At 38.0% G+C, this 15,012-nt stretch overlaps 1 protein-coding gene across 7 annotated transcripts in view, besides 1 other annotated feature; it reads right to left on the minus strand.

Annotated features, from left to right (window-relative positions):
- The window catches only part of PXDNL (peroxidasin like), a 489,869-nt gene that overhangs the window by 386,136 nt on the left and 88,721 nt on the right, over window positions 1–15,012 (minus strand). The window lies entirely within an intron of this gene.
- Window positions 13,473–13,974: an enhancer, noted in NCBI's record as "NANOG hESC enhancer chr8:52631745-52632246 (GRCh37/hg19 assembly coordinates)". NCBI's record gives its function as "activates a minimal SCP1, AML or CMV promoter by ChIP-STARR-seq in primed H9 embryonic stem cells {active_cell/tissue: H9 hESC(primed)}" and the evidence as "EXISTENCE:reporter gene assay evidence [ECO:0000049][PMID:30033119]".

The raw sequence follows: 15,012 nt of genomic DNA on the forward strand, positions 1-15,012 counted from the left end.
AGTCAATTGATTTCCTTCTTTAATGTCAGCTACAGCATTCAGCTTCTGGCAAAGACAGACCAAATAGTTCAGACAAACCCTCCTGGTGAAAACACTGTGTGTGTGTGTGTGTGTGTGTGTGCGCGCGCGCGCGCGCGCGCGTGCATGCACATGTGTGCAGATTCTTACATGCACAAAGATATTCATAATTTACATTTATTTAAATTGCATTTCCAGACAAAGTGGAAAGAATAAGTTAGAAGCAGTATTTAAAAGATAATGGCTGAGAATTTTCCAAAACTGACAGAAGGCACGAAGATGAAAATAGCTAAGACTTGGCGGGGTGCAGTGGCTCATGCCTATAATCCCAGCACTTTGGGAGGCCAAGATGGGCAGATCACCTGAGGTCAGGAGTTCGTGACCAGCCTGACCAACATGGTGAAACCCCTTCTCTACTAAAAATACAAATATTAGGTGGGCTTGGTGGAGGGTGTCTGTAATCCCAGTTACTCGGGAGACTGAGGCATGAAAATTACTTGAACCTGGGAGGTAGAAGAGGTGGAGGTTGCAGTGAGCTGAGATCGTGCCACTGCACTCCAGGCTGGGTGATAATGAGAGCGAAACTCCGTCTCAAAAAAAAAAAATTGGTAAGACTCTTTACCTCCAATACTTCACAGTCTATTTAGATCAATGAGTAAATGCATAGTTAAAATACTGGTGTCAAGGGAGGAAGTAGGGAATTCACACAGGAGGAACACCCAATGCAAATTGGAGCCATCAGAAAAGGCTTCCACAGTAGATTTTGTGAGAGCTAAAGCATGAAGAGAACAACTACTTATTTTAACATAGTTATATTTATTTTCATTAACTACCATAATAATTTGAATTATTTTTATGGTAATCATTTTCTTATGCAAATGAAGGAGTAACAGGATTGAAATAGTAAAGTTGAGTTTACAAGCTGAGCGCCAGAAAAACAAATAAAAGAGACTAATTTTTAACATCTTACCTATTTGAGTTTCAAAGATTCCCTCAGAAAAGCTTAGATTTGTCAAACATTTGAAATAAATGCCATTGGCAAATCAAACTTCAATATGAGGTTTCTTACGCTCCTCTTTGCTAAGAGTGTAATTTTCCCAACTCAGTGAATTTCTTAAAAAGCCTATCAAACAGACGTCAACCTTTGAAGCTTCAATTCTCAGGTATGGAGGGTCTCCACATAACTGCCCACTGAAGGGGTCTCTGGGTTTTCAGCAGAAAAAAAATGCTTGGATTCCAATGAGTTCTGCTCTCTGTAGCATTCAAAAGAGAATTGCACCATTACTGAATCTACATAGACGGTTTTACTACTTATGATAGCCTGAAATTTAAACCCAGTTCTCATAAACAAATTTATGAAATAAGCTATTTTAATAATTTGTTTTGGATCATGCTCACTTCTAGTAGAACTGAGCATCTCTGATATTTTCAGTGGTTTGTTTTGCTCGCTCTCTCTCTGTCCAGTGGAATAAATAATCCTTTAATAAAAACAGAGGCAGACACATGACAAGCAGTTCATCATGTGAGGAAATTCACATTTAGACAAGCATGCTTTCAAATATAGAGTCCCTTTTTAAATCTTTCAGGGGAATTTTTAAGCTCTATTGAGACATAGTTGATATTTGCATATTTAAAATGCACTTAATGTATATATTTTGATGAGTTTGGACATATGCCTATACTCATGATACCACAGCCAAGTAGTACTAAACATACTCATCACCTCCACAAATTTTCTTGTATTTTTGTGTGGTTTCATTTTTGTTTGGTTTGGTTTGGTTTTGTTTGTGGTAAGAGCACTTAACATGAGATCTATCATCTTAAAACATTTTAAAGTATACAATTCTGTTTTGTTAACCGCAGATACTGTTCTGCAAAACACATCTCTAGAACTTATTTGTCTTGAATAATTGAAATGTCATACCTACTGAGCAACAAATCCCCATTTCCTCCTCCCCACAACCCCTGGCAACCACCATTCTATTCTCTGCTTCTGTGAATTTGACTATTTTAGATTCTTCATATGAATGGAATCATGCAGTGTTTGTCCTTCTGTGACTGGCTTATTTCACTTAACATAATATCTTTCAGGTCAGTTTATGTTGTCACAAATGGTAGGATTTCCTTTTCTTTTAAGGCTGAATAATAGTCCACGTGTGTGTGTGCGCGTGCATACATATATATACATGCACACACGCACATACAAATATATATATATAATATTTTCTTTATTCATTCAGATGTCCTTGACCTTTTGTGTAGCAAAGGTCAATAAATAAATTGCATCATAAGAACCACATCTAAATTAAAATCTTCTTGATATTTACTCATGCACTGATTCATTAAATCAATAAATATTTCTAAAAGGCCCACTTTGTGCCAGTCTCCTGTACTAGCTCCTGAGAATATATGTCGAGTAAGAGAAAGTTTTTGTCCTCTCAAAATTCCAAGTTGAAAGAGAGAAAAACAGGTAAGTCAGAGTATGATGAGCACATTGATCGTGATTCACCTGGAATGACAGAGAAGGGCACCTGAGTCACCCTGGAGCAGGAAGGGGAGGCCCTGGATCTGGCCTGTCAACAAGACAACTGGCTCCAGGAAGTCACTGTCTGTAGTCATTTATCTTTTTATCTTCCATAAGCACCTACTGTAGGCTCTGCACAATGGAGGTGAAAAGACAATGGAGCTAAGAAAGCAGACTAAAATAAAAAGAGAGTTCACAGAGAGAAGAATAATGTAAAAGAAACAGAACCCTTATGAACTTAAATTGTAGGAAATTGTAAAGAATAGAATTGCCATTGCAGAGAAGTGAAGTACATCAGCAATGTGGAGTACAGGCTGAAATTCAAAGGAAAAGAACACAGATATAAAAATCAGAGAGCTCATAGATACGGAAGAAAAATAATGGAGACCCTTTGTAGGAATAATTAGAATCCTTGAAGAAGAGAACCGAATCTATGGGAAAGAATGCTCAAAAACATGATAGACCAAAACGTTGAACTGAGAGGAGACCTTAGGTTCAATTTATACCAAACAAAATTGATGAAAAATAATTAATTGCTAAACCTGTGTTCCATAGGACGTTAGTTCAAGTGTTGAAGTTTCAGGTAGGCACTGAAATTCGGAGAGAAGTCAAAGCTGGAGTTATAAATCTGGGAGTTACTAGCATGTCAATATTTAAAATGTGGGACCAGATGAGATAATTAGGGAGGGGGGCAATAGGAGAAAAAGAGGATTTGAAATGACATGTTTGGGGATTCCAGCCTTTGGGGTTTAAGCAGAAGACGAGCAGACTGCTAAGGGATGAAGAAGGAGCCCTGCTGAGGAAGAGGAAGTGAGTCAATTAGCAGATAAATGTAGAAGTGTGGTAAGCCTCATTTGTAATCAAATAAATGCAAATTAAAGAGATCAAATTTGATTAATTGTATTGGCAAGAATTAGTAAATTTCATTACTAATGTCAGTTGGAAGTCAAACTTGCAAAATGTAATTATAAATTTTGAACATCTTTTGACCCCAAATCCCTTTTTTTTTTTTCTTTTTGAGACGGAGTCTCACTCTGTTGCCCAGGCTGGAGTGCAATGGTGCAATCTTGGCTCACTGCAAGCTCCGCCTCCCGGGTTCACGCCATTCTCCCGCCTCAGCCTCCCAAGTAGCTGGGACTACAGGTGCCGGCCACCACGCCCGGCTAATTTTTTTTATTTTTAGTAGAGACAGGGTTTCACCGTGTTCGCCAGGATGTTCTCAATTTCCTGACCTCGTGATCCACCCACCTCCGCCTCCCAAAGTGCTGGATTACAGGCGTAAGCCACCATGCCTGGCCCCCAAAATCCCATTTTTAAGAATTTATTCTAAGAAACTGACCAGACAAGAGCACAAGAATGCAAACTCATCACAGTATTGTTTATAATCAGTAAATTACTAAATTTCTACAAAGAAATGAAGGATAAGTTAATTATGGTACATGAACATGGTGAGATTTTATGTAGTCATTAAAGTAAAAAGGATATCCATGTACTTAACTACATATGTATATATGTATGTACCAACATCATTTACATGATATTCACAATATAGTATAACAAAAATATTGTTCATAGAATATCATTAAACAAAATTGATTCACAAAGTTTTGCACATTATCTATGTGAAATTTTAGTCAATATGCAAATATCTATGCACACAAATAGTCCAGAATGATAGACTCTAAATGTTAATGAGGAGTAGGAGTTTTGACAACTTTGATTATAATGTTTATATTATCCATAAGCATTTTTATAATAACCATCTATTGCCTTTTTAGCCAGAGGAGCCAATCAAGGTATTTAAACTTTGAAAAAAGAGATAAAAATATTTCCTGTCCTTATTTCCCAGCTTTCCCTTTTGTCTGCTCTGCTAATCCCTTTAACTGCACCACTCCCAGTGTAGGCTCTGAGACTCCACCAAAAATTGATTCTGGGCAGCCAGACAAAATCTGTCTTGCTCTAGATTTTATATTGTATCACTTTTATAGAAGCAAATAGATTTCTCCTTCCATTCAAGTGAACATGAAATTGTCTCTTTTTAAATTTTTAGAATCTATTTTAACTGACAAAGAAAAATTATACATATTTATGGTATACTACATGATGCTTTGATATATGTATATATTCTGGAATAGCTATATCAGGCTACCTAACAAATCTATTACTTCACATATGTATCAATTTTTTGGGGGGTGAGGACATTTAAAATGTGCTTTTATAGCAATTTTCAAATATACAATACAATGCAACCAACTATAGTCACCATGTTGTACAATAGATCTCCTGAACTTATTTCTCCTAATGAAAACTTTGTATCCTTTGACCAATCTCTTCACATACTCCACCTCCCTTAGGCCTTGGTAGCCGCCATTCTGCTCTCTGGTACTATGAATGAGTCTGACCATTTTAGATCCCCCATAGGAGTGAGCTCATGAAGTATTTGTCTTTCTGTGCCTGGCTTATTTCATTTAGCATAATGTCTTCTAGGTTCGTCCATGTTGTCACAAAGGGCAAAAACCATATGGTCATACCAATAGATACAGAAAAAGCATTTGACAAATTTTAACATCTTTTTATAATAAAAACTCAACAAATTAGATATAGAAGGCATGACCTCAACACAAAAAAGGCCATGTATGGCAAGCTCACAGCCCTCACACTCCATGGTGAAAAATGAAAAGCTTCTCCTCTAACATCAAGAACAAGATAAGAATGCCCACTCTCACCATATGTGTTCAACGTAGAACTGAAAATCCAGAGAAATCAGGTAAGAAAAAGAAATATATAAAAGATATCCAAATCAGAAATGAAGAAGTTAAATTGTCACAGTTTACAGATATCATGGTATTAAATATAGAAAACTAGCAATTAAAACTTTGAAATTATCTTTTTTATTTTATTTTTGAGATAGAGTCTTGCTCTGTCACCCAGGCGGGAGTGCAATGGTGCAATCTTGGCTCACTGCAACCACCTTTCAGATTCAAAGGATTCTCTTGCCTCAACCTCTCAAGTAGCTGGGATTACAGGCACACACCACTATGCCTGGCTAATTTTTGTATTTTCAGTAGAGATAGGGTTTTGCCATGTTGGTCAGGCTGGTCTCAAACTCCTGACCTCAAGTGATCCACCTGCCTTGGCCTCCCTAAGTGTTGGGATTACAGGCATGAGCCACCGGACCCAGCCGAAATTATCTCTTGAACATATCAATGTATTGTGATTGTTTGCTTCAGTTATACATATGGCTTGTCTTCAAATTATAAACATTACAAAGATCTAATACAGTTGAGAGTTTGTCATGAAGCTCCAGAATTATGAAAAAGAAATAATACATGGTTGGGAACCAGAGAGCTATGAGTTCTAAAAACTACATGTATTCTATTCTCCAATTACTTTTGTCAACTTACTTTTGTTAAGTGACTTTGTTTTGTTAAGGAACTTTGTATTCTACAATTTCCAAATGGAAATGCTGGCCTAGACCACTGTTTCCAAAAGTATATATATGCAGTATACAGTTATTTTATAATGTGTCAACAAAAAATACTTGTAGCTGTCTAATTTTCATTAGGCATATCTGACTGTCCTTACCTTATTCTCATTTTTCTTTTTATCCAGCATTTATTGTTACTGAAACACCAGGGGTTTGTTCTAGGTCCTGCTGCTTGCAGCACAGAAAGCCAATCACTGAGACAACAAGTATTGCCAAAGAAGAAGTTTTACTCTGGTACTGCAGCCAAGGAGATGGGAATTCAGTCTCAAATCCATCTCCCTGATTGACTAAAACTAGGGGTTTAAATAGCAGGGAAGAAATGCAACAATGTATAAGAAACCAGGAACTAGGAGAGAGACAAGGAAGCAATTATGAGGAATGAGGCCTCTGGCATGTCATTGTCTGGGTGTGGTAACATGGTAAGTTTCAGTTCTTTGATTTTTTTTTTCTTTTTTGAGAGGCCTGAAGGCCATTTCCTGAGGAGGGAACTCAGATAAAACAAATGTAAGTTTCAACCTTTAAGACCAAAAGGGTCCATTTCTGTGTTTATCTAAAAAAAACTACCTATGGTACTACTGGGCTGATTTCAGCTAATTTTCATTAGGCACATCTGACTGGCTTTACTCTACTTTCATTTTTTCTTTTATGTAGAATTCCTTACCATCTGAAATACTATAGCATATGTTTATTTATTGTGTTTCTAATGTATTTTCTTTCTCTCTCTGCTAAAATGTAAGCCCAATGAGGGCAGTAGGTTTTCTCTGTTTAACTCACTCATATCCCAAGCACCTAGAATCATGCCTGGGACATAGTACTAACTTAATTAACATTTGTTGAATAAGTATTTGGACACTGATCACATGTATCAAAGTTAATGTAAACAGACAACCTTAGTTATTACAGTATAAGAAAATATAATGACTTTAGCTTCTATAGTATAAGAAAAAAAGTCTACATTCTATCTATGGCACATTTTACAGACAAATCTAGATTAAACACAATGCTCAGGAAACTGTATAATTGGGTTTATTGAATTCCTGGCAACTGTTAAAATATTCCTTTCAAACTTCTGTTTTGAAAATACTTCTAATACCTTATGATTAATGGGTAAGAAAAATATGACTTTTTTCAATTATTCATGATTTTGCAGAGTCTCAGAGCACTCATTCTAAACATTACTTCTCATTATGCAACAATAAACCATAGAAATAAAAAATCTGGAAGGCTGAGCTGAAAGGGTACTCATCACAATTAAATCTCTAACGTGAGCTAATTTTAAGATTATTTTTATCTTTCTCCTAAAAATGTGAGTCAATAAAAATTCTGCTAAACTAGTATTTGGAGTTTAAATATGTCTGGCTATTTCTAAATGACTTAATATGAAAAGCATTAACTTAAAACAAGCATACATTTGAATCTTCAGAAAATCATGTTAGATAAACTTGTGCTTTAGGAAGTATTTATAATATCAGCTTGCTGCTATGCAAAGGCATAGCTGCCCTAAGGCTAAACACATAGAAAATTTCACCTGAAATAGATAGCACCACAAGGCATTCCTTATCTCAGGTTTGATATGCCTGTCTTTTTTAAATAAAGGAACTTTAAATTCCTAGGCAGTCTTATCATAAGCAGCAGCTGGCTAAATGTAGAATGATTATATAACTTGGCATTCAAACAAGGACACTTGAGAATGAAATGAAATACCTTTAACCATCACCCAGAAACAGAGCCTTCTGTCACCCACCCCAGTTGAATAGGCAAGGCTGGCCAACGTTGTCCTCACACCTCGTTGAGCCGGTTTCTCTCAAGTAATCTGAAGATAAAACCACAGGCCCATGTATATTAAGGGCCAATTGTTTCACCACAAAAAATTCATTAAGTGTAAATTAATATGCTAAAAGACTTGGTTAGTCAAACAAGCTTTATCCTTTTGTAATCAAAGTAGAAAAAAAATTCAATGAAGAAATAAACTGCTTGCCATTTTTTTGAGGAATCGTTTGTAGTATAAGAAGAGCTGATTAGCAAAATCTGATTTACTGTTGCAGGCCTTTAATCTCAATTAGGGTTGAAATGTATTCCCAACAGATAATAATGTTAGATCCAAGCAAATAGTCACTTGTTTTATTGTAATAAAAGTGATCTACCAAAAAAACCCACAATCTTACCTTTCCTCCCTATCACTTTAATTCCCTACATATTTATGTTTGCAAAATCCATATAAATAAAACCATGAATTGTTTTTTGGAGTTTTCAAATGAAGAAAATTTTACAAAATAACAAGAGCCGGTAATTTTTATCACACTGAAATGCTTTTTAAAGCTCTTCAAAATGGATAGTACATTGAGTTCAACTCCTTTCTAAGATTAGAATATTGTAATAAGTAAAATTAAGTCATCCCTAATGATTATAGCATACATTGGCCACATTATGTAGAATGTTATCCTCTAGGCCTTATATTTTTGACTTAACAAATATGCCCATATTTTGTGCACCCAGATTCTCTCTTTTGCCACATGGAAGGATGACTTATCATTGGCTAGATTGCACTTTAATGAATTCAAGACATCATTTCTCTGTTTTAGTAATATTGCTGCGCTATTATCCACCATCTTCATTTCATAGCACTGAGGAATAGCATTCTATTACCACTATACTGTTGGCCATATAAGTACATCTAGAGCAAACAGACACTTCAGTCATTCTGGGAGGCTCTCTGTGCTTTTAATTTATTTTCTTTTTTTAATGGCTCAATGGGAAAAAAAGATTTTGGGGTTATAATATTCTGGAAAATGCTTAAGTTTAAATATGGAGATTGTTAAATATTGATCTCCCATTACCTGTTGCTATTCTGAAAGCATTTGAAAATCAAGAAGGTATAACATTTTCACACAGAGAACAGTTCAGAGGAGAGGATAACAGTCCAAAGGAAAAATAAATGACAAGAGGGGAAGGAAAATGGTAACATAGGTATTTGTTCCATTGCACCATTTTGTAAAGTAAAACAAATCTCCTGAATGGACAAATGAAATACCTTTCCATTCAGACACCTTTTTGCTTTGGTATTATCCTCTATTTTCCTACTCAACTTACAAATTCAAAAGCTGCAATTGTCTTTTTTCAAGGAAACAGAGAAAACATTACTGAGTTGTTAATATTCTTCCTTCTACCAAAGAATAAATTGTAAGTGCCATAAAGAGAGCATGTCCAACTTCTACAGTTGCCAAATGAAAACCCTTCATGAGTTTCCACTATGGGGAATATCATGAGAGCAGCATTAGTTGCCAATATTTTTTGCCATTTTCCTCAGCTCTTTAAAAGGCCTCTGTTGCTTCTTAAAAGATAAATATTAAATGTAGTATATATCTGATAAGGGATTAATATCAAAGTATTTTTTAAAACTCTGACAACTCAACAACAAAAGACAAACAACCCAATTCAAAAATAAGTGAAGGACTTGAATAGACATTTCGCCAAAGAAGACATACAGAGGGCCAAGAAGAATATGAAAAGATGCTCAACATCACTGATCATCAGGGAAATGCAAATCAAAACCACGATAAGATACACCTGATTTTGAATGGCAAAACAGAGAGGGTGAGAGATTGAGTTAGTTGCAGAAAGACATGGCTAGTCATCAGCGAAGCAGGGACTTGAACTCTGACTGACTCCACCACACACGATTTTAATCACTACACTAAGCAGTAGAGAAGAATGAAAAAAATGTCTTTTGAGTCAGACACATTAGGTTTGAACGTCAATTGTGCCATTTACTAGCTAAGTGACTGAGATAAGTGTTAACTTCTCTGATTCTTAGCTTCTCCAACTCCATAAACAGGCACCTCACTGACCTCCTGCGGCAGAACGTAACAAAAGAGCAACACGTAGCAAAGCACCTGCCATATGAGGAGGTCTGCAAATGCTACAATAGAAATAATTTATTCACCCTCCAAAGATCCTTATGAATATAGGGCGGGGTTTCTTGTCAAGTTAATGGTGCGGAGGTACCAGGTGTCAGCTGACTCAGGAGGTACAGTAACCTAAGGCAGGAGTAACTTCATTGCTTTGGCTATTGGTTCTTCTGATCAGCAACCCAGGGTTTTATCTGTGCTGCCTGTATTTCTCATCAGGCACAGTAAATGACATTACCTGAAAGTTCAACAGAAGTTTAAAAAAAAAAATGCTATTCAGTCCACTTGGAAGAATCTTACAATATGCAAATTTAAATTCAAAAGTTTGCCTCTACCCTTTTGATTTATAGATATGGATGCTGTACTATGATTGCTCAACCATAGACTGGCTTGACACCTACAGATCTCTGTATCATGAAAAGTTACAGTCACACCCTCAGCTAACATTCACTGACACCCCATAACAAAACTCCACGGAGAGATTCAGTCATTCGTCAATGTCAGAAACAAAATTCCATGTGGGTGCCTGCTTTCAAAACATTGAATTCCCATCTGGCAAGATCCTAATGAACAAAGGAAAGATCTATGTTTAATGAAGCAATACCCTTTCGGTAGATATTTCTTGACAGCTGTACCTTGGAGCCATTGCATTTCTGGCAGCCTTGCTACACCTTCAAAAAGACAAAAATCCTAAAACAATCATATATTCAAATGCTGAAGTGCACAACACATAAATTCCCCTTTCCCTCTTGCTGATTCCATGGAATGAGACTAACTTTCAGTCAAGCTAGTTGAAGTGAGGTGCAGTTAACTAATTCACTTCATGCTATGTGTTTTTGTAAACTACTGCACTCTTGCTGTGAAACAAGGCTGAATCAATGAAAGCCAAATGTACCTTTAGTGAGGAAAAGGCCCTGTGAGTGATAAAAGACATTTTAGAATCCATAAGGATAATAGTGTAAGAGCTCCAAACGTGTGCCATGATTTTCTCCATATTACTTTTTGTGTATCTAACTCATATTTCAGAAAGTAAATAATAATATGGAAAAGTAAAAGAACAAGAAGAAAACATTGGCAGCACTGGACCTACACCAGGCATCCCCAAAGGCAGGTGGAAAACGATTGCACCCCTAGCTCCTGTAATTGTCAGGAAGAGCAGAGAAGGCTCCCTCGGGCCCTTCATAGCAAGCAAGGGGAAGAGATGCAAGATTTTTCAAAAGGCAAGATTCTAATCACTACCCTAAGATTTGTAAATCCAAGAACTCTTTTTTTGTTGTTGTTTTCTACTCTATCAGTTAGGAATGATTTGGGCTGCAAATAACAGAAAATCCTAATCAGACCCAAACAGATGAACTATTTGCACCATACAAGACCAGAGGAGGTTGTCTAGGTGGCTGTAGTTGCTCAGCAGTGTCAACAGTGACAACGTTTGTGCTTTATTATCCTTAGTATGTGGCCTTCACACTCATCATGACAAAATGACTTTTGTCTTTACCAGTGGGAATGAGAAAGAAGGGGCTTACCAATTTTATCTGTCTCTTCCTTTTAAAAAGATGCCCTGGATTCCTGCTCTTGCAGACATCTTATAATACTATAGTTTCCCAGAAAACAGAGCTTGAGATAAAGACATAGCTGCAGGGAGTTTACATAGGAATGTGATCTCAGGGAGCAGGTGTGAGGAATGAAGAAAGCTGGAAAGGGGGAAAAACCATTCTAAGGACACATTATCCAGTTGGCCAGCACCATAGATGTCTTGCAAAAGAACTGCAGAGTCTTCCAAATGCTTCTCAGAACTTAGACCTGGCAGATAAAAGGGGACACATCTGTCTGTTGCTGCCATCCCATCAGTCACAGGTGCTCCACGAATGCTAACATCCCACATCTCTAGTGTGGGCTTCCCATGTTGCAGGATCTGAGAAGCCCCACAGCAGAAAATGAAAGCCATGACCTGGGCTGGAAGCACAAGCTACAAGGTTGTCCCTGCATAATCAGTGCTTGTGTGTGACCAGAGACCACAGGGCAGCTGGAATCAGAGGAGGGGCTCAGGGAAAAGGAAATAGTGCCCATGAGTGGGGCCAGGATAGGCCTCATTGGCCCAACCTTTCTGGCCTCTGCAGCAGCAGGAGAGGGAGAGAAGATGAGTATTTGTGGTCAGGCAGTGTCACCCTGCAGGATTCTGTTGGCAAAAGGGAACGAGAATGGATGCTGGGCAAGCCACCACCAGAGTCAGCTGCCACTCCCTGGCTAATTATAAGGGGGGTTTCCAAAACCTTATTGTCACCTAAAAGCAAAGTGAGAGTCATGCTGAATATGTTTTCTTTTAAACTGTTGTCCTTTGAGCAAATGAGCTAGATTTTTTTTTTTAATTACTACAACTTGTGCTAAATTCTTCTCTAATCAAGAGAAAGCAGAGAGCAGTCACCACTTGTCTTAAATGTCTTGCTTTTGACACAGCTGCCTGAGGAGGCAGGCCTGGTTGGAAGGAATAGGAGCATGGGCAAGTACACAGGAAGGAAAGCAAGGCCTGGGATTGATTGTCCCAAGCAGACCCCAACACCACAGCCACAGGCAGCCTCAGGGGTCTGGAAGGAGGGAGACCACCTTCCATGTGGGGGCCAGGGACTGAGGGGGAGGAGCTGGGAGATTGTGGGGGAATTCCATCTTTAGCACTGGACCCAGCAGGGAAGCTCTCCACCCTTTAGTGAGTGGCAAGGAATGGGGAGCGCCAATGTCTTTGGCTGTACTGGAGGTTAGGTGAAAAAAAGTAGAAGTTATCTGTAATTCAATCATGCATATACTTTCCAGCATTCATCTTTTTGGTTTTCTTCTCAAAAAAGATAGCAGGCTTCCAAAGTGAACCAAGAAATACCAACCGTGGCTCGAACTTCATAGTTTGCCTCTAACTGCATTTTCATACATTGCCCTAAAGGGGCACACTTCTCATTGCTTACTAGTCACATTTGCTTCAGTTATAGTTTTCATAGAATTCTTTTGAAAAGTATGCTGTGACATCTCATTCCCTGTGCTATAAAACTCAAAGATGGACACATCTGCTTGAAGTATCTTGTTTCACAGTCTCCACTGTGACAGCTCATATGCCCCCTGAGGACTGCCTCTTGGCCCCTCTGTGGTGTATTAGGGTACACTCATGCTGATCATCTGCATGAGCTCCTCCACTGATTTTACACTTTAAAAGGTGGATATTTTCAATTCACCAGGATCCTGAACTAGTCATTTGTGTTAAAAATCAGACTTCCTCCCTCGCCCAGCCAGCCGCCCCGTCCGGGAGGGAGGCGGGGGGCAGCCCCCACCCGGCCAGCCACCCCATCTGGGAGGGAGGCGGGGGGCAGCCCCCGATCGGCCAGCCGCCCCGTCCGGGAGGGAGGCGGGGGGCACCTCCGCCCGGCCGCCACCCCGTCTGGGAGGTGAGGGGCGCCTCTGCCCGGCCGCCCCTTCTAGGAAGTGAGGAGCCCCTCTGCCCTGCCGCCACCCGGTCTGGAAGGTGTACCCAACAGCTCATTGAGAATGATGGCTGTTTTGTCGAATAGAAAAGGGGTAAATGTGGGGAAAAGATAGAGAAATCAGATTGTTGCTGTGTCTGTGTAGAAAGAAGTAGACATAGGAGACTCCATTTTGTTCTGTACTAAGAAAAATTCTTCTGCCTTGGGATGCTGTTGATCTATGACCTTACCCCCAACCTGGTGCTCTCTAAAACATGTGCTGTGTCCACTCAGGGTTAAATGGATTAAGGGCGGTGCAAGATGTGCTTTGTTAAACAGATGCTTGAAGGCAGCATGCTCTTTAAGAGTCATCACCACTCCCTAATCTCAAGTACCCAGGGACACAAACACTGCGGAAGGCCGCAGGGTCCCCTGCCTAGGAAAACCAGAGACCTTTGTTCACTTGTTTATCTGCTGACTTTCCCTCCACTATTGTCCTATGACCCTGCCAAATCCCCCTCTGCGAGAAACACCCAAGAATGATCAATTTAAAAAAAAAAAAAAAACTATTTCTACCTTCTAATGAGAATTTTAAAAACTATAAACATGATTTTTTTAAAAAAATATTGAGTTTCCAAAAAGAAAGGAACGAGGATTAATCCAGAAACTCCACATCTTCCTGGATTGGAGGGTACCCTATCATTCAAAAATTCTTCCAGAGTATCATATGTTTCAGATGGATTCAAGCAGAATATTTTTTCAAAGATCAGTAAGCGGTGCGCTTAGAAGAGAAACAGCCTCTCTACATCTAAGACTGTGAGTATTAGAAGCCACATGTAGAAAGCACCTGCCTAACATAGAGCCAAACCAAATACAAGCAGAGCCAAAGGAACTGAGTCATGATGTGATCATTTGAACTTCTGGATTCAGCTAGGCCTGAAGCAGGGCCGGGACTAGGGTGAAGTAAGTGAGGCATTAATTTGAGGGGCAAATTTTAAAGGGATGCAAAGAAACCTCAGTAATAAAAGAAAATACAGTATTTTCTTTTTTATAATAAAAATATTTTAATTCTTTATTTCAATAAAATATATTATTCCCTCCTAAAAAAAAAAAAATCAGACTTCCTAAGTTTGGGGGAAGTTTTATACAGAAGCAAATTGTTCTTAAAAAACAACTTATGTGACATATTATCCTTTATGTCTGAATTGTTTTTTTAAAGCTATGTTTAATACTCAGTAATTTTTTATTACACTTTGAATATGTTTTTGGAAGGGTTTTCATTCATGTTTATTTTCCCAACTTCCTACTTTACTGTCAGCTGTTATTTGTAAATAGATACTATTTATAAATCAGACTTATTGGCATAATTGTGGTGTTATTTATATGAATCACATGTGAATAAGTATGTTCTTTTTTGAGAATTTATACATAGTATTTTTATTTTTATTAACCAAAATTTTAAAAAGAAATGTGCTATCCTGATATTCTGTAAATATTTTGGGTATTTTCTGAGCAGCATATAGATGAAGTCTCACTTGAATAATCCCTAAATTCAAGTTTATCAGATTAATTTAATAAACTCTTGAAAATTAGATATATTTCTCACTTCCTAGCTGGATATTTTGGTGAAGCATC

Source organism: Homo sapiens, chromosome 8, assembly GCF_000001405.40.
Source record: "Homo sapiens chromosome 8, GRCh38.p14 Primary Assembly".
Taxonomy (NCBI): domain Eukaryota; kingdom Metazoa; phylum Chordata; class Mammalia; order Primates; family Hominidae; genus Homo; species Homo sapiens.